This window comes from Homo sapiens, chromosome 6 (assembly GCF_000001405.40).
Source record: "Homo sapiens chromosome 6, GRCh38.p14 Primary Assembly".
Taxonomy (NCBI): domain Eukaryota; kingdom Metazoa; phylum Chordata; class Mammalia; order Primates; family Hominidae; genus Homo; species Homo sapiens.
In genome coordinates, this window is record NC_000006.12 from 10060001 (window position 1) to 10080816 (window position 20816).

General features: G+C 38.9%; 1 long non-coding RNA gene and 1 pseudogene across 2 annotated transcripts in view; one reads left to right on the forward strand and one right to left on the reverse strand.

Moving 5' to 3' along the window:
- The window catches only part of LOC105374919 (uncharacterized), a 21159-nt gene extending 18802 nt beyond the window's left edge, over positions 1–2357 (forward strand). The window contains exon 3 of the long non-coding RNA XR_926457.2: positions 2095–2357. This is a non-coding gene — a long non-coding RNA (uncharacterized LOC105374919). The remainder of the gene's footprint in view (positions 1–2094) is intronic.
- OFCC1 (orofacial cleft 1 candidate 1 (pseudogene)) overlaps positions 1–20816 on the reverse strand; it is a 506631-nt pseudogene that overhangs the window by 355023 nt on the left and 130792 nt on the right. The window lies entirely within an intron of this gene.

A 20816-nucleotide genomic window follows, 5' to 3' on the forward strand; every position in this document is an offset into this window, starting at 1 on the left:
TCCTCTGATTGACTTCTATTTCCCAAAATATCCTTATGCATATCTGAAATCTTCCTTGAATAAGAACGAATGTACTATCATCAGATAATTCTCATAGGTTGCAATTGTTGGAAATTTCATTTTTAAACTACACAGACTTAGGTATCTCATTGAAATTCTGCTAGCTCTAATCTTAATTCCTAGCTGCATAATTAATGCAATTGCTTGCAAATGTGCTCTGCAAGTGCCCTGTGATATAATGTCTTCTGCGTTGCTTGCACTAAGAGAGATTTTATAAACCTTCCTTGCTTTCAACAAGAAAAAAAAAATGCCTGAGTTGAGTGGTGCCCAGGGGAAAAAAAAAATCACTCTTTCTCCTTCAGAAACCTTTTTTGTTAGTTTCTGCCTTTTGGTTTATTATTAAAACTCTACCTGCACCCTGCAACTAGGCAGTATTGGCTTTTAAAAATGTGTTTTCCTGTTGGCATCCTTGCCTGACTATTCAGTCCTTGCTATATTCTTTGTAGTTACTCATGAAGGAATGTCTGTTACTTACTCCAAACTCCACGCTCCTAAATTCCAGACACCCAAGAGCAAAAATAGAATCGAAGAAGATGAAGCAAAACAAGGAGAAATAAATGACAAGAGAAAAATAAGAATGAGAACGTACCCAAGGGCAGGGTTCTTTCCAGACTTGTCTCTTCCCCCTGCTACAGCCAAGGCCACGATAAACAGAGTAGGGAAGAGGACACAGACCAAATGGGATTCTGGGTGAGACGAAGATGATCTGGGAAAAAAGAATGACAGATCTTTCATTGCAAAGATGTTAGCACTCATCTTAAGAGATGAGGGATTTCGTAGGAATAGGGCTTGCCACCCAAATTCTGGTAACTTTCATCCTATATTTGTAATACCTTCTAAAAGAGTGATTCCTAAATTTAAGGATATTGTAAGAATCACCTGGGGAGCTGGTTAAATATTCAGATTCCAAGCTCCTCCCCAGAGATACTGATCCAACAAGTCTCTGGTGAGGTTCAGGAGCCTGGATTTCTAACAAGCGCCTGTGTGATGATTCTGATTTAGGTAATCCCAGGATTACAGTTTAAAAACTATGTTTTGCAATAAAACTGCCCATTTTTGGAAAGAAAGGGAAAAAAAAAGCACGAAAGATAAAAGGAAAAAGTTACTTGTTAAAAGGACTTTTCTTTTCTTCCCCCAAACCTGAAGTTCTTAAAAATATATGTAAAAACCCAAAATGTGTTAAAATTCAGATAAACATGAACTAAGCACTGTACACCTTAAAAATCTATTTTAATAGAATCTGTGCAGATCATTTAACTTATAAAAAGAATGTAAGAGATCAGAAAGTCCATTTTTATAAAATATTACTTTATTATGCTGTTTACAATTTTTTTTAAAGAGTATACATATTTTCCTAAAAAAAAAGTCATACTATCAAATACTTCTTTTTACCCTTTCCATGAAACAATTCACAGCCAAATACATTTAGCACATTAGAACTTTGATCTCCAATTTCAACTAACCAGTAGGGTAATAGTTACATTTGAGGTCACAGTGAGGTCTTGACCTCTCTTAAGGCTTTTTTTCTTCAAGGAAACTTCCACTCTCATCATCAATTTTGAAATAACTCACTAGTTGCCCAAGTTTTAATACCTTACATTGGAGCAAATAAATCTGAGCTTGAGCTAGCAACATTCACTAAAGTATTACTTTACCACTCAGTTTCCTATTAGAGTCTGGACTGGAAAAATCACCCATATTTTTTTTAACAACTTCTGTAAAAGTGGTTAAATTCTTGAGCAGCAAAGGCAACCACATATATTTCCACCACATAAGATTTTCTATTTATGTTTTATATGTGTACAAAAGTAAATAGTCATTTAACATTGTATCATAGTATCTTTCTCAAAAAGTTGCACTATTCCTTTTGTAAAATAGTCCATCATCAACTTATTCTGATGTAAAAACTAACCTTACATTCAAAGCCTACGATAGTATATTTAAAGCTGAAATTATATATTGTAAGTTAAAAAAATCCCATTCAAAAATGTTTTCTACACTCAAACGCTCTTGTTTTTTGTTTTCTTTGGAAAGGTTGGGTGAGAATTGGCACGTAAAAATTTTGCTGCCTGATTTCCCCATCACTTATTACAGCTGGCAGAAAGTTCATAAAAGAATAGAGATAACTGTCAAAGCACATTAGCAGTTGCAAAGAAAGAGACAAAAGAAGAATGCCACCATTATTATTTATAGTTGTTCACTGGGGTGAGTTGAGTTTTACTTTTTCCTACCTGAAAAGTGGAGAAAATATGTCATCACTACATATTGCACTTATAACCCCATACTGCTGGGTTGTAATTCAGCCAACATCCAGGATAGTTTTAATGTGTTTATCTCCAATAAAAGTAAGCACTGTGGATACCAAATTAAAAATCCTCTGGGGTTGTTCATTGCCTATAGCATTCTAAAAGTAAATATATCTCAGTTAAAAAATGGAATTTTAAAAAGTAGTTCTTGGAATCAGAAGACCTACATTTGAGTATGGTTGAATGATATTAAGCCATGTAATGTGGAGAGGATAAAATGGTGAGTGCAAATGCAAGGTCCTCACCATCACAACACTGATCTACTGTAGAAAGCAGATCTTAATCAAATTTTCACCAAAAAAATAGTGTAAATGTTAACTGTACACAGTAAACTAAGATTTGTGTATGAGAATTCGGTATAGGATAAACTAATTTAGAGGGTCAGAGAAGACAACTAAAAAAGTGATCTGGAAGTTGAGCTTTAAAGGGTGAGTAGGAGTTAACCATAAATAGTTAACCAAGGGAGAGTCTGGGAGGAGAAGCAGGGGGAATCCCATGGGTGTGGACAAAGTATCTGTGGAAACCAAGTCCAACAGGAGCATAGAGTGTCCAAGAGAAAGTTCGTGTGGCTGGAGTACACACAGCTAACACAAAATGAATTTGGGGCCAGTAGGCAGGGCACACAGGACCTTGCATATTGTATTCAGGATTCTAGTCATTATCTTAGAACTGGGGAGTCATTGAAAGGTTTTGTGTGGGTGAATGTGTGTATGTGTGTGTGTGCTTGTGTGTACACTCTGACAACACAGGCTCTGGAGGAAGGATCATGCATGATCGTATTTATACTTCAACTCAGTCACTCTAGCTGGGATATGGAGAAGACATTAAAAATTGAAATGGAAATCAAGCTACCTATGGAGACTGGATAGAAAGCTAATGCCTTGATCTAGGGAAGAGGTGATGAAAAAATGGCCCAAGATAATTACCAGGAAGCAAGTCAGGAATGAAACTCTGTCCACTGTCCCTATGGGCCATCCATTCAGTTCTCAGCCAAAGATCCAGTTTGAGGGGGAAAAGATAGGTCCTGTTGATTTTGAGCTGCCTTTGAGAAAACCAAGTAGACATAAGAGTAGACAACTGGCTAATATAGTTTAGAGCCCCCAGGGTACACCAAGGCTAAAATTATTTGAGTTGTGAGGATGTTCTAAAGGAAATATAGGATTTTCCTATATGGAGACTAAGGGACATTCCAGAAAGAACACTTGTAATCACACTAAAACAAGAACACGTAGAGTCTGTTCTTTCATTAACCATGAATGCAAAGTATTTTCTTTTATAACACAATTTAATCAAGACTTTTAAAAAATTAAGCCCTAAAAGGCATTAATCCATTATTTCTGGATTATTTCTCTTTCCTTCATCTAATGGAATGGTAATTTTAGAGTAGACTCACGTAATACATGAAGTAACCTCATAATAAAGGGTGAATTCCTACATCCCATGAAATTTACAACTTCTCTTTTCTTATCATCACAACTTATCCAAAACTTTATAGAATTTAAAATCCCTTCTAAGCTTCTCAACTATTTCTACAATTTGTTAAAATATCTGGTAGATTTTTGCCTTTGATTTTTTTTCCTCAAACCCGTTGTCACCAAACACCATAATTTGGGCATCCATAATTCACTATTAATAACAAAAAACAAAATGTGCAAGTGAGTTAATTCTTTATGAAATTAGCTTATATGCAAATTATTCTTTTAATTAAGGTCAGTCTCATTGATTGCATTCAAATACACTTTCTGGAGAGGAAGAGAAATCTGTGGAATTGCAGTCAACGTGCAGGGATTTGCAGGGGGAAATAACAAAGCTTATCTGCATCACCAACCACAGGGTGTCAGATACGTTAATGTCATCTTTCACATGTGCTGCGTTCGAAGAAATTGAGAACTACTGCTCTAAACATCAAAATTTTGAAACCCCAAATAAAATATATGAACAATAATACATTCATTTTTCTTTTTATGCAAGTCAGAAGAAAAATATTGCAGATGCTTTATTTTATAAGTCATTCCAAATAGTGAAGTAATTATTTTTCAGATACAAAAGAATAAACTTAAAGCAGCATTTACTATATATGTATTATATATATATAATTTTTTTTCACTGGGAACAAACTAACAAGTACAGGTAGAATTACCTTCTGTAAATGCTTGCAAAACAAAGCAATTGAAACATTTAATTTTATGTGTTGTGACATGAAAGAGAATGCCATCAACACACATCTATTTAACTGAGCACACAGTGAAATTATACCCAAGAAACTGGCTACTGGTTTTAGTTTTTCATGTGGGAAAACCTAGAACACAGACTATGTCCTTAATACATTTATTATCATGAGATTATAAAAAACAGTAAGTACTGCAATGAATTATAAGACATATTTCTTATTCAACTTAAAAAGTTTCCCATAGGACTTTCACAGGATTTCCTTTTTGACATAAAGTTTATATTGGAAGTATAAACTCTTGAAAGGATAACATATATTTGTTTTGTTTTTTTGTTTTGGGGATGGGTTTTTTGTTTTTGTTTTTGCAGCAGGGCCTCACTCTGTCACCCAGGCCGGAATGCAGTGGCGCAATCTCAGCTCACTGCAACCTCTGCCTCCCGGGCTTAAGCAATCCTCCCACCTCAGCCTCCAGAGTTGCTGGGATTACAGACACATCTCACCACGCCTGGCTAATTTTTGTATTTTTTTGTAGAGATGGGGTTTCACCATGTTGCCCAGGCTGGTCTCAAACTCCTGAGCTCAAGTGATCTGCCCACCTCAGCCACCCAAAGTGCTGGGATTACAGGTGTGAGCCACTGTGCCCAGCCAAGATGGCATATATTTGGATGCAAAGACAGTAGATTCTAATGTCTTAAACAATGCCTGGAATGGTATTTCTTTATTTCAATATATATATTGTTCTGAAGTGATTAGGTTATAAAATTACTATTTGAGAAATTTTCTTCTGTTTAGAAACAAAAAAGTTTGCCATTCCTTCAGAATAGTTGCCATACGATTACCAATTTAATCAATTTTTGAGCACTCTCCACCTTTAGATTCTATTCTATATTCAGGCGATCCAGAGATTTAAAAATAAACAATTCCTGCTATCAAGGGCCAAAATCTATTGGGAGAGAAAAAGACATGGAAACAAAAGAAGTAGTTACACTATAGAAGCAGAGTAATTGGAGTGAGAAACAAATAGAGTGGCTTTGTTGTGATGTAAATTTTGAGTATAAATTTGAAAATCGAACATGAATTTGGCAGATATATAATTTGAAGGTAGGCACTCTAGAGAGAAGGCAGAAGTAAACAGACAGTGAAGCCTGCAAGACCTCCATGTGTTCATGGAGCTGTAGGTAATTAGGGATGATTAGAATTCAGGATGAATCTGAACAGCATTGTGTCAGAAAAGTAAACTTGCAAGTCAAATACAAGGACATACACCACTTAGTAGACCACAGAAGGCCATTAAAGAGTTCGAACAAAGAAGGCCAGGTGTGGTAGATCACACCCTGTAATCCCAGCATTTTAGAAGGCAGAGGCAGGAGGATGGCTTGACTCCAGGAGTTCAAGACCAGCCTGGGCGACAAAGTGAGCCCTCATCTCTACAAATAATAAAAAAAATTAGTCAAGTGTAGTGCTGTGCCTGTGGTCCCAGCTACTGGGAGGCTGAGGTGGGAGGACTGCTTGAGCTGGGGAGGTTGAGGCTGCAGTGAGCTGTGATTGCACCACTGGATTCCAGCCTGCATGACAGAGCAAGACTCTGCCAAAAAAAAAAAAGAGTTTGAATGAAGAAGCAACAGGATTTTATTTGAGTTTGAGAAAGATGATCTCAATGGACATGGGGAGGATGAAGTCTATCTAAATAATGGAAAGTGATACCACATTTTTAAAGAAATACTGAATTAACTAAAATGTCAATTATTCCTAATCATCTTAAGGTTTTAATGAAATTGAATTCAAATGCCAATAAAGTTGCCATTGTTTTTGTTTAGGTGAAGAGAATATGACAAGATGATTCTCAAATTCATGTTAAATTGTTAAGATCATTGTTTTACATTAAATATTTCCAATGATACTCATAGGAGACTCAAGAGAGGTAAATAAGAAAATTATGCCCATTTGTCAGGTAAGGATTCTGAGGGTGGGGCAATTTAAATAATTTATCCAAAATCACATAGCAAATGGTGTGCAATGGGCTTCTGACACCATAGTTTATTATCTTAAAATATTATAGATGACTTCTTTATAGCAATATATCAGAAATTTTGGATAATCTAAATGTGAAGCTACTGGAGAACAAATACATAAATTAGAGTACTTTCATGTGAAAGATTCATATAAATCATAATTATAATAAACATAAAAGCCTAAACATAATGATTTAAAGAGAGATAATTAAAATCCTGGATTTTTACAATTTAGGCAGTTTCTGAGAGACATTGTAAATTGTAAAGATATAGAAAGTTTAAAAGCAAAGTGATGGGGGTAAATATATTAAAAAAACACTAACCAAAAGACATCTGGTATTCTTATACAAATAACAGATAAAGTAGATTTCATTAAAATCTACTGATTATAAAAAGGATTTCTATATAATTCTTTAAAAAAGCATTTCATCCAAAAGCAAAATAATTCCAAATATATATGCATCAAATAAGATAGCTTCAATATGTACAAAACAAAAACTGATGGAATCATAAAAAGAAACTTACAAATATATCATTAGAGTAGGGGGTTTTAACATGCTTCTCCTAGTAGCATATCAAACAGCAAAAATTTTTAAGGATATAGATTGAACAATACAAAAATCAGTTTGATCCAACTGGCATATAGAGAACAATGCACTAACAATTGAAAAATACATGTTCTTTTCAAGTATACATGGAACACTTAAAAACTTGACCATGTAAAAGGCCACAAAATAACTTCAACAATCTTTGAAAAACTGGAAGCGTACAGATCACAATCTCTAATCACAATGCTATGGAGTTATAAATTGACAACAAAAAAGTTAAATATCTCACCACCTATACTCCTGGAAGCAAACAAACTTTTACACAACATAATGTTATGAATAACTGAAATAAAAACTAGATGGGAAATAAAATGTTGTTGTATATAATTAGTTAACACCTAAGGAGCACATACAAATTTGTAAGAGAAATATTAAGATTGCAACAGCTAATAGCCAAAGGTTAAATACTTGAAGTAAAAATTAACCAATAAGGAAACACAAAGAATACCTAATCTCACTAAGAGTTTAAGAAATACAAATTAACTCAACACCAAACTATCATACCAATTAAATTAGCAAAATTTTATTTACTTTTAGAATGCATTGCCGGTTGAGACCAAAACAAAAATTGTGTATTTATGCACTGTTCATGACAGTGCAACCTGGTACAATTATGGATTGCAACATTGAACCATAAAATTGAACCATAAAAATCTTCCTACACTTTGACACAATAATATCACAATTTGGAAAGAGTTACTTTAATATGATTTACTAATTCATGCTTCACTAAAGGAGCCTTTGCTTTTGCCACAGCTATTAGAAGAATTCTGTTTCCTTTACTCAAATGAAAAAGGTACCCATTTATTCCATTAACTTCACATAGCCACACGTCTGTAAAAGCCAATATATACAACTTTTTAAGCAATTGTACCATATACCTCCAGCTAAATATGAGAAATACTGAACAGAGCTACTATCACGTACATTGTGTTGTATCAAAAACATATTTTGCAATAATAACTGTTATTCCCTATTAGGAAAATGCATGTAACAGGTTTCAAAATGACTGACTTAAAAGAATGTGTATAGAATTGTATAAAACTCTGTTCTTGGCTAGGTTATGTTTATTTCTCCTGGAAGTTTTAGAGGTTGTTCAATTGTTTGTTTGTTTGTTTGTTTTGAGGAGAAAGCAGAGTAGCAAGTGAACTTGGTCCATTGGCTATTGATACCATTTATTGACGCAGGTGTTTTCTCCTAAAACAAAGTTTAATAAACGTTTTGAAAAATAAAATTAAAATTGAATGTTTTTAAAAAACCCTTCTTTTGTCCAGCCAGCACAGGTAAATAGTTTATTGTGTTGGTTCAAAGTGATCATGTTAGCCATGTTTAGGAGAAATTTGGATCCCCGTCAATGACTTCTGAAGTCAATGACAGAAATGGATAGAGGAGAGGAGGGAGTAGAGGCCTTGGAAGAACAAGCAAGATGACTTACTTAGCAACCCCCTCATGGTATCCTGCCATCGCATTGAGCATCCTTGAAACTCACTGGAGCTCCCTTCCTGGAATGCATTTGTACCGAAAGGTAACAACCAAGTTAAATTAATAACCAAAAGATGACTCAGAGAGAAACAAGAATGCTTTTTCTCCCTACTCTACTATATTTAGAGCCATTTTTCAAAATCAACATCCTCCAAGTCCATGGACTTTCGGAATAGAGAGTTGGGCTTATGAGAAAATTACGTTTTTGAAGTAACTACCATTCATTTAGTGTTTGCTATGTGCCAGCCCAGGTAGATTGCTTCACTTGGGATATTTTATTTAATCCTCACAGCAACTCTGTGACATAGACCATTTTATTCTCACCATCAAAAACAATGAGAAAACTAAAGCACAGAGAAGTTTAGTAACTTACCCAAGGGCACATAGCTAGCAGGAGGAGTAGTCTGGAATCCAGCTGAGAGGAGGATAGAGGCATAGTTATGATCCCCTCTTCAATGAGGTAGAAATGGAGACTCGTTAATTCTTGCCCAGTCTTCATTTAGCACATCAGGAAGTGTCAGGTCCAGGAGTTCAGCCTTGATGCTATATGCTAATCATGTCTTTTGATTTTCTATATGCTGAAGCTCTTGACATCTGAGCCTTGCTGAATATGGAGGGACAGCCCCTCTACCCCAGAGCCCCCCAAAATTATTCAAACTAGCCAATCCAAAGCATGTTCACTCTGCTTTGTCTATTCTTTCCCATGGAAACCATAAGGCTTCTGTTCACAGTCCCACCCTCCCCCTCTGCCTCCTGACTGACCCTGTTGCTGTCCCTGTGCCCCCTACACCCCATGGCATGGCATGGCCCCCCTTTGCTTTTGGGGTCTGTAAATCATTTTTATCAATGGCAGTTATCCCCTAATCTGTTGGCCTCACTATACCTAAGTAATAATAAAACATCACATACTGTGATGTCAGTACCTATGGTTTTCCTATCATACCAGATGGACTCCTATTGTTATCAGGTATATATAAAGCTTTCTATGGCCAGGTGGGTAAGCCCTCTTCTATCTCTCAAATACTTCTAAACATGTGTATAAAAATGGTATTAATGTCTTCAATAGACTTCAATCTATTTAACATGTCAATGTATTGTTTTGCTAACATGCAAAGTGATTAAGTTCTAGGAAGAGTTACCCAATTTCTATGGCCAGATCTAATTAAGAAATAAATATTGTTAAAATAAGCACAATATTGGTATATTTTTAACACTTAATGATTCATTTTATGGCCTAAGAAATCACTGCTTTTGATACATTGCTACATCAATCTGCTTTAGACATTTGACATGTACATGTGAAAGGTATGATTTTGACACTTTTCTTGTTAGAGATGTGGAAATGTAATCATCATCGGTTCCAACCTCCGAAATTAAGGTGATAAAAATTACAGATTTTTTTAAATTTCCATGTTTTGAAATTATTTTAAATGGCTAAATTGATTTCTACTTTTCAAAAAAATTATAGGGGGAAAAATTCTCCCAGGCTAAGACCCGATCAGGAGAGTTTTAGCCTGGAGCAAATTTTTACAGCTCAGTTATAAACCCCTGAAATAGGAGTTCATAATGGAAATGGCTGCTCAACCTTAACTATTGCGGGTGCCACTATAATAAAAACGGCAGGAGTTCACATTAACATTGGCTTCCCTTACACTCTTTCCTGTTAGCCATCCATTAACCAAACTACACTACCTAATGGAGGTAAAGGCCACAGCTTTACTCTCAACAAAAATAACAAGATAGCCAACTTACAGGTGGTAAATAACATATTCCCCCAAACATCAGAGTGTACAAACATCCCCTGGAGGCCACTCTCCAATCTAGAGAATAACATCCACTCCAATGATTTCAAATTAGGAATAATGTCTCAGCCTGCAAAACACTAGGCAATGACACTGATTTCCTGTTTATTTTTTTAAATGTATTACATTTTCGGCCGGGCGCGGTGGCTCACGCCTGTAATCCCAGCACTTTGGGAGGCCGAGGCGGGCGGATCACGAGGTCAGGAGATCGAGACCATCCCGGCTAAAACGGTGAAACCCCGTCTCTACTAAAAATACAAAAAATTAGCCGGGCGTAGTGGCGGGCGCCTGTAGTCCCAGCTACTTGGGAGGCTGAGGCGGGAGAATGGCGTGAACCCGGGAGGCGGAGCTTGCAGTGAGCCGAGATCCCGCCACTGCACTCCAGCCTGGGCGACAGAGCGGGACTCCGTCTCAAAAAAAAAAAAAAAAAAAGTATTACATTTTCAGTGTTTGTAGAGAGAATAATTTTTTTAAAAACTCCTTTATAATGAGACTATCTTTATATAATACATTCATATATGCTGACAGGTACATGATTTTCCAAAATTAGAAACAATATTTGAATTGAAGTACCTGAATATTTCATTCGTAGACACCACCACAGAGTGATCCAGATTAAACTACGGTGGAGTTTTACTTGAGTGTCATCTTTAAAATCCCCAAGAATGAGGAAGGAACCAGCATTTTTATGAGCTTATATGCCAGATGCTTTGTGTCTATTACTTAGTTCTTATAACAAAACCCCACTATTATCCCCCATTTACCTATAAGAAAGTTGAGGCTCAGGTTGGATAAATAAGGTTTTGCTTTCATAGAGCTCGTAAATGGAGGAGTAGGATGAGCCTCCAGTTCTGTCTTATGGTAAACTAACTGTGCTGTCAGATTACAAAAAGAGAAAGAAGAGAGAACCCACCACTTCCAATCATTCATTGTTTCTTTAAGCCTAGTCGAGTAATCATATTAATTGTTTTTCAATCAAAAGATAATTGTCTTGGAGAGCTTTAAAGTTTGCAGACCTTATGTGGAGACTTTGTAAGGCATACTAGATTAATGTATTATAGTTACATAGAATTGGCAGCCAAACATTTTCTGCTGACCAACAGAACTGATTCTTCCAGGATTTCACGTGACTTCTAAATGCCTGGAAAACTCACCATTCAGTGAACCATGCTGCCTCCCTGGGCAGTGCCCTATAGGCACCTTCCTTACAATGACATTCTTTTGAATCTTTAGTCATAAGCAACTTCCCCCACTCCTTGGTTTTGAGCTCCATTCCATAGGTGACAATGTGACAACAGCAATGTTCCAACACACAATTCTCAGTCTGTTTTCACATGAAAGTGAGCTTTGTTCAACTTCATTGGAAGCCTATTCCCAACCTATTTTTTCATTTGAAACTCTTCAAATCAAACAGGTCACTGAATAAAATGTAAACACTTAAATATCTATGCTGTTAACATAACCACCCTCTGTCCTTTCTCCAAAAATAAACTGAGAACTTGGTTGTGAAAAGGGTGGGAGGAATGAAGAGACGAGAAAAGTCCCACAGTCTCCGTGAAGCCAGTCTTGACAAACTGGAAGAGAGGCATTGATTTCTACTCAACATAACTCTGAGCACGCAACATCCCTGGCTCTTCCCCTATTGTGAAAAATACAGTGGTGCCATTGTCTGTAATGTAAATGTCTTAGATATTTACATGATTTCTGAACTGGGTCATTGTTTATATTGTCACCTGTATATGCCGTGATGTTTTTTCCAAATTGACTTCGGAAAGCAAGGTAGCGAGTACATGTCTTTGACTTATTGTGGGACACAGCACAGCATTATGTCCAGGTGAATATTTTAAATCAATAGTTTGATTTTCATGTGATTTTAGAGAAATCCAGTATTGACATGTAAAGATTCTATTACATGTATAGGTACACATTTTCTTTCTGAAGTTAAAAAAAAAAGTTATCTGATAGCTGTGGGAAGCTTTTAAAAGTAATGGACCCTTTTTCTGGAAAAGTGTAGTTCTCATATATATGATGTTTTATATATGATTTCAGGGAGTTAAAATATCGCTTTATAAACCTATGCAATTCTTAGGAACCAAAAACCCCAATTTAAGACCCTTGCTCTCTAGGGACTATACTAAGTATAATTTGTTTTCAAAGATTACCCTGGGCCAGGTGTGGTGGCTCACGCCTGTACACTTTGGGAGGCCGAGGTGGGTGGATTGCTTAAGCCCAGGAGTTCAAAGGCAGCCTAGGCAACATGGGGAAACAGTCTCTACAAAAAATTCAAAAATTGGCAAGGTGTGGAGGTGCAAACCTATGGTCCAAGCTACTCGGAAGGTTGAGGTGAGAGGACTGAGCCCAGGAGCGGGAGGCAGAGGTTGCTGTGAGCCGAGATCGTGCCACTGCACTCCAACCTGAGCAAGAGAGCAAAACCTTGTCTCAAAACAAAACAAAAAAAAAGATTATTTTGGAATACATATAAACGAGATTCAGCATCAAAAATTTAAATCTCATTCTTAGATCTCCCACTGCATGACTTTAAAAATGAACTCTTTATTTTTCTTGGCCAAAAAATACCTTCAACCACAATAGGAAGAGGATCAAGTGTAGGGTCACCCCAGCACTTTTTTTACCTCAGATAATTTACAAGGGAAGAAAATAGTGGAAAGGCATTTGACTTATTAAATATACACGTAAGTGTATACACACACACGCACACACAGATATAGATACAAATGTATGTTAGAAGATACTTGCCTTGGAAAGCTGTAAAATTCGATGGGATTATTCTAAGGCCTTGTATTTATGCAGATTTTGAATGATCCGGGAGAAGGTGTTTTGACATCTTGGCCTCTTATGCTAGCTAGGACTGACGATTCCAGGATTTTACTTGATCCTGAAAACACAGACAGTCCTATTTCACAGCAACAGAGCGATGATTCTTATAAGGGTGGTCCTCAGACCACCGGCAGCAGCACTAAGGAATTCTTTGCAATGCAATTTCTCAGCTCGACCGGAAACCTGCAGAAACTCTGGGAGTCGTTCCAGTGGCCCAGAGACAGGGTTAACAAGCCCCTAGGGATTAGTGGTTGCGCATCACTCCATTAAAGGGCTTTTCTGTCCACTGGGAACGGTATTTTAACCTTAGTCTGATTCCAGCGGCACAACTCCGCCCACATACACTTCTCAACTCTCTAAGAGTGACAGAGCATTCCCCTCCACATCAAGACTTGTTCAGAATTCTTTGTCCACACCAGGACACTAAAGGCTAAGTATAAAGGTGGGTTCTTGGTCTCACTGATGTCAACAACGAAACCGCGGACCCTCGCGCTCAGTGTTAACAATTCTTAAAGCTGGCGGTTCCTGAGTTTGTTCCTTCTGATGTTCAAGATCTGTTCGGAGTTTCTTCCTTCTGATGGGTTCATGGTCTACGCTGGTTCAGGAATGAAGCTGCAAAACTTTGCGGTAAGTGTTAACAGCTCTTAAGGCAGCGCGTCCGGAGTCGTTCGTTCCTGCAGGTGGGTTCATAGTCTCGCTGAGCTTCAGGAGTAAAGCTGCAGACTTTCACGCTGAGTATCACAGCTCAAAAGCAGTGTAGACCCAAAAAGTGAGCAGTAGCCAATAGCAAAATTTATTGCAAAGAGCAAAAAAACAAAGCTTCCAAGAAGCAAGCTACCGGTGCTGACTCGGGCAGCCTGCTTTTATTCTCTTATCTGCCCCACCCACATCCTGCTGATTGGTCCATTTTACAGAGAGCCGACTGGTCTGTTTTACAGAGAGCTGATTGGTCCGTTTTGACAGGGTGCTGATTGGTGTGTTTACAATCCCTGAGCTAGACACAAAAGTTCTCCACGTCCCCACTAGATTAGCTAGATACAGAGTGTGGACTGGTGTATTTACAAACCCTGAGCTAGACACAGAGTGCTGATTGGTGCATTTACAAACTTTGAGCTAGATACAGAGTGCCGACTGGTGCATTCACAATCCCTTAGCTAGATATAAAGGTTCTCCAAGTCCCCACCAGATTAACTAGATACAGAGTGCCAATTGGTGCATTCACAAACCCTGAGCTAGACACAGGGTGCTAATTGGTGTGTTTACAAACTTTGAGCTAGATACAGAGTGTTGATTAGTGTATTCACAATCCCTCAGCTAAACATAAAGATTCTCCAAGTCCCCACCAGATCAAGAGCCCAGCTGGCTTCACCCAGTGGATCCCGCACCAGAGCCGCAGGTGGAGCTGTCTGCCAGTCCCGCACCTGCGCCCGCACTCCTCAGCCCTTGGGCGGTCGATGGGACCGGGCGCCGTGGAGCAGGGGGTGGCGCTCGCCGGGGAGGCTCCGGCCGCGCAGGAGCTCACGGTGGCGGGGGGAAGCTCAGGAATGGCGGGCTGCGGGTCCCGAGCCCTGCCCCGCGGGGAGGCAGTTAAGGCCCGGCGAGAAATCGAGCACAGCAGCTGCTGGCCCAGGTGCTAAGCCCCTGACTGCCCGGGGCTTGCCTGCCGGCCGGCCGCCTAACCAGCCGCTCCGAGTGCGGGGCCCGCCGAGCCCACGCCCACCCGGAACTCGCGCTGGCCCGCAAGCGCCGCGCGCAGCCCCGGTTCCCGCCCGCACCTCTTCCTCCACACCTCCCCGCAAGCTGAGGGAGCCGGCTCCGGCCTTGGCCAGCCCAGAAAGGGGCTCCCACAGTGCAGCGGCGGGCTGAAGGGCTCCTCAAGCGCGGCCAGAGTGGGCGCCAAGGCCGAGGAGGCGCAGAGAGCGAGCGAGTGCTGCTGGGGCTGCCAGCATGCTGTCACCTCTCAAAAGGATCCAACCGATTAATATGCGGGCATTTGAGGGGCATGTGAATTTCTTACAGGCTAAAGCCCTTTTCAAACAGCATCTTTCTATGCTCGGATGAATAAAGACAATCCAGTTTAAGAAAATAAGCAAATGTGCATATTGTTCTTTCAAAAACAATAGGTATTTACTTGTTTAATTTTCCACTTAGGCTCCTCAGTTTATAAGTCCCAGTGAATTTTATTAGCAATTTCTTCAGAGAATCGCTGATGATAATTATCATTGAAAAAAAAATCCAAACACTTTAAATTACAGTTACAAATCATATAATTTTTTTTACTTTTAATTTTCACCATATTGTACAAATACATCTAATTATTCTCACTCTACATAGTATGCTACAAAGTGCCTTGGGGGACTGATTGGTTTATCAATTCAATTGGAAAGTTGGTTGTTTTGATTAACGTCAACAATTATCTATTATAATCAGTATCATAATGCCGTCTAATTAAGACAAAGAAAGTGCTTAAAAATTTCCAAACCTATTGCCTATATGAGTAAAAAACAAAATTCACAACAACAAAAAGCTGTCTGGTTTCATTCGGTGTAGAAACAGCCCGGCAAACCTCTTTCTCTAGTGGTAACATTGAATTATAGACCTGTATAAAAATTATCTACATGAAGATAATCTTGAGGCATCAAGAAAAGGTTAGATCAGGTCTGTGCTTGGTTTAAGAAGGTGGGAGATGGAACTAGGGGTAAGGACTTGGTTGTGTTAAGCAGCTATCCTTGAACTCAGTAAGAAAATAAAGGGCAAAGTTCCTTTTCCCTTAAAAAAGCCCCTATAACTGTAATCCCAGCCCTTTGGGAGGCTGAGGTGTGAGGATTGCTTGAGGCCAGGAGTTCAAGACCAGACTGGGCAACTTCGCAAGATCCCATCTTTATTAAAAAAAAAAAATTGGTGGCCAAGCACGGTGACTCACGCCTGTAATCCCAGCACTTTGGGAGGCCAAGGTGGGTGGATCACCTGAGATCAGGAGTTCGAGACCAGCAGCTAACATGGAGAAAAATACAAAAATTAGCTGGGTGTGGTGGCAGGCGCCTGTAGTCCCTGCTACTCAGGAGGCTGAGGCAGGAGAATCGCTTGAACCCGGGAGGCAAAGGTTGCGGTGAGCCAAGATCGCACCTTTGCACGAGAGCAAAACTCCATCTCAAAAAAAAAAAAAATGGTATCCAAGAAGACTCTCTCTATATATACATATATATATATGGTCTTTAAATATATATACACACACATATATATACACACACATATATATGTAAATATAAAGTTTTAGGGCCTTTAAATATATTTTATATATAGATATATTTATATAAATTTATATTAATATATTTATATAAATTCATATAGATTTAAATATATATATTTAAAGGCCCTAAGACATTATACTTACACATATATGTGTGTACATATACATGCATATACATACATATATTTAAAGGCTCTAAAACTTTATATTTATATTTACATACATATATTTAAAGGCCCTGAAACTAATACTGCAAGGGATAAGTCAGTGCTTCTTGAATGTCTTTTCTATCCCAGGGTTGCAGAGGGTTATGGAAGACACCCCTTAGCGGCCATGGGTGACTGGGCAAGAATGCTATCAGACACAGCCGGATGGCAGGGCTAGCTGCCCACCCCGATCTCCAGAGGGTTCCATCAGAATCTCCAGAGTCCTGAGTGCACTGAAAGGGCCTCCAGATGCCTGGGCTATGCCCTTCGGCAATTATTTAATAGTTGTGTGTCTCAGCTGAACTTTCAATATGAGGACAGGTTTGGAATTGTTAAAAGAGAAGCCTAGATGGTCCATCTGTAGACCTATTAAACAAGTAAAAAAGAATCATCTTAGTGTGTTTGGGCTGCTATAAAAACAAATCAGACTGGGTGGCTTAAACAATGGAAATGTATTTCTTATTGTTCCAGAGGCTGGGAAATCCAAGATCAAGGTGCTGGCCAATTCAGTTCCTGGTGAGGGTCTTCTTCCTGGCTTGTAGACAGCGACTGTGTCACTATATTTTCAAATCACAGACCACTATGGTGTTTCTTCTTTTCCTTTTTTTTTTTTTCTTGAGACAGAGTCTTGCTCTGTCGCCCAGGCTGCAGTGGCGCAATCTCAGCTCACTGCAACCTCTGCCTCCTGGGTTCAAGTGATTCTCCTGCCTCAGCCTCCCGAGTAGGTGGGACTACAGGCGCACGCCACCACATCCAGCTAATTTTTTATTTTTAGTAGAGACAGGGTTTCACCATGGTGGCCAGGATGGTCTCAAATCTCTTGACCACATAGTCCTGCCTCCTTGGCCTCCCAAAGTGCTGGGATTATAAGCATGAGCCACCACACTCGGCCTCTTCTTATAGGGACTCTAGCTTTATCAGATTAGGGCCCAACTCTTATAACCTCATTTAACTTTAATCACCTCCTTATTCCAAATACAGTTACTTTGGGGGTTGTAACTTCAATATAAGAATTTGGGGCAGTAGGCTGGGCGCAGTGGCTCGCGCCTGTAATCCCAGCACTTTGGGAGGCCAAGGTGAGTGGATCACCTGAGGTCAGGAGTTTGAGACCAGCCTGACCAACATGGCAAAACCCCGTCTCCACTAAAAATTAGCCAGGTGTGGTTTCGCACACCTGTAATCCCAACTACTGGGGAGGCTGAGACAGGAGAATCACTTGAACCCGGGAGGCAGAGGTTGTAGTGAGCCCAGATCACGCCACTTCATTCCAGGCTGGGCAACAGAATGAGACTCAGTCTCAAAAAAAAAAAAAAGAAAGAAAAGAATTTGGGCCAGTAGTGGGCGTGGGATGGCACACAATTCAGTCCACAGCAAGAACTACACAAATACAGATTTTTTTTTTAACTGTATAGGATCAGTTCAGAGATAGCACCCAGCTCACATTGATTTTGCACTTTTTAAACTACAGCAAAATCATGTTCTTTCAAATTTTCTACCTGAGGGGGGAATAACTTAGAATAATCAGGTAAGGCTTATGATAATTTATTATTTACAGAATGCAAAGAGTTCTGGATATGGACAAGGCAAATTTAGATAAGGAGCATTACCAAGTACATACTTCTGTCATTGAGACATGTCTTGGGTTGTGCCTGAGTGTCCTGAATTAGCCTTGTGATTCTCAGTGTGTTTAGGCTTCACTAACTTTCCCCTTTGCCTGTGGATGTTTTCAAATTATGAGGTGTCCAAGCTGAGGGAGATATTTGGGTCAAGAATATTAGATTCTCTTCTTCTATTTGCAAAGAATTGTTGTTATCTATGAAACAAGTGTTTTAGAAAACTTGGTTCATTAGCTCTGGGTACCTTCCCGCATTTTTTGATGTGTTTCTGTGGACTACACTGACCCCATACACAAACTTGATTGCACCTAGAGATATGGTGGTAATGTCACTGGACCTGATCACAAATAAGCTTTAAAAGTTTGAGGTATGTTATTTCACTGAAGGGTAAGTACTTCCGTTGGGAAGTGATTTTGACGATAAATCTTATGTAGGATTAAAAGCCTTTTTGGCCAAGTTCCTAGACTGAGACTATTTTTTTGCTTGTTCATTCATTTTGGTTTGAGGTGTAGGTCAGTCCTGAAACCAAAATCATCAGGAGGTAACAACTGCTGTGTGTGCATGCATGTGTTAATATATTTATGCACGCGTGCGCATGTGTGCATTTTCTCACTAGTAGTGTAACCTAGTATTTATTTCCAATTCCCACGATCCACTGAAAGCAACAGTGGTTTTAGTTCCATGAAGGAACAAATTGGTTCCTGCAGGAGCAGACACTGGTTTCCTACTGGCAAAATCTGAGGGCACCACCAAGCTGATTTGGCAAAATGAACTCCGAACCAGTCTATTCGTCACAGTGAGGGGCAGTTACCAACCAGAATGGCTCACTGGTGTCTAATAAAGACAGGAAGTGGTCTTTTGGCAAGTGGTCATTCTCTCCATCTTGGAGCATATTTCCTCTTGTGACTGGTAGGTATCAGCTATCAGGCAGCCTAATTTACCTGAAAAATGTTGTTAGGCATAGGATGAATTCAGGTTCATGGTGTAACAGTTTAAACAGAAGTAGTGCAGGTATTTCAAGAGGAAGTTTATTTTCTCCTTGAATGTGTATTTTACTCATTGGCAGGGCCACAAGGCTACTAAACATTCCTAATCCATATCACTGCTGCATTTTAGGCAAAACAAGCAAGTACACCTCATTATTTTGTACTGACTGGGTGTCTGTGAACCTCCGTAAGCAGAGCTGTGGTTCTTGTTCCCCATTTTTCCTGTACTCCTTTGGGCTGAACGATTTGTGGGCCCACAAACTACAATAAACTAGAGACATTTTGAACAAGAAATGTATTTGCCTCCTGCAAATACTACCTGATTGAGAAAGTGTGTGAGCATGTGTGTTAACATAAATATGATAAGAAGAACAAGAAGTTTAGTCTGCATGAATAAAGTGGCACTTTTTCTTGATGCCTTGATGTTTTATTTTAAAACTCACCATGTAAGGCAGGAAAATGTCTAAATTTATATTCCATAAAATCTGAGTTCAGCTACTGCGTCTACTTTAATGTGATGTCTTTAGGACATGAACCCATTATGATAATAATCTGATTGGTAAAGAGAGGTCATTAGATATCTTTCTCCAAAGAGATAGCTGCCAGAAAGAAATAGCGATTAGAGGTGTAAAAAAGATTTCTTTAATGTTTCCTGTTTTGCCATTTTATCTGTAGTAAAAAATTTATTCTTCCATGCTCAATAAATTCTGAAGAGTGCTTTGAGTTCAGGGGATAGTAGACTTCTTTACATGCACAATAACTGTTGAATACTGGTTATGAATGGGCTTCCTAACTACACTTTTGATGTATGCATATTGTTTTGATAAATGAAAATACAAATGCACTGAGGAAAAGATAGATCAGATTTTTGTTTCAGAAGGAAACTCAGTGATTCTTACCTCTTCACAAGAAAATGTATTTGATATATCTTTTGCTAGAATATTTTGTAAGCTAGAGGTTTTTTAAAATTTTCTTTCTGAAGTTTTATTAATGCTATTTTTATGGGGAAAAAATTATAACAACCACATAGTTATAGAAATTAGGCCAGGCACGGCGGCTTCTGCCTGTAATCCCAGCACTTTGGGAGGCCGAGGCAGGCAGATCACCTGAGGTCAGGAGGTCAAGACTAGCCTACCCAATATGGCAAAACCTTGTCTCTACTAAAAAAAAAATACAAAAAATTAGCCGAGTGTGGTGGTGGCTGCCTGTAATCCCAGCTACTCAGGAGGCTGAGGCAGGAGAATTGCTTGAACCCAGGAGGCAGAGGTTTCAACGAGCCAAGATCGCACCACTGCACTTCAGCCTGGGCGACAGGAGTGAAACTTCATCTCAAAAAAAAAAAAAAAAAAATTAAACACATTACAAGAGGGGTTGCTTCTTTTGGGGAATTATAGTGCCAGAACTGAAAAATGATTGTGCAATCAGTACACAGCTATATCCCCTTGTTATAGCTGTAGCATAGCTGTAGCAGCTCTGGATC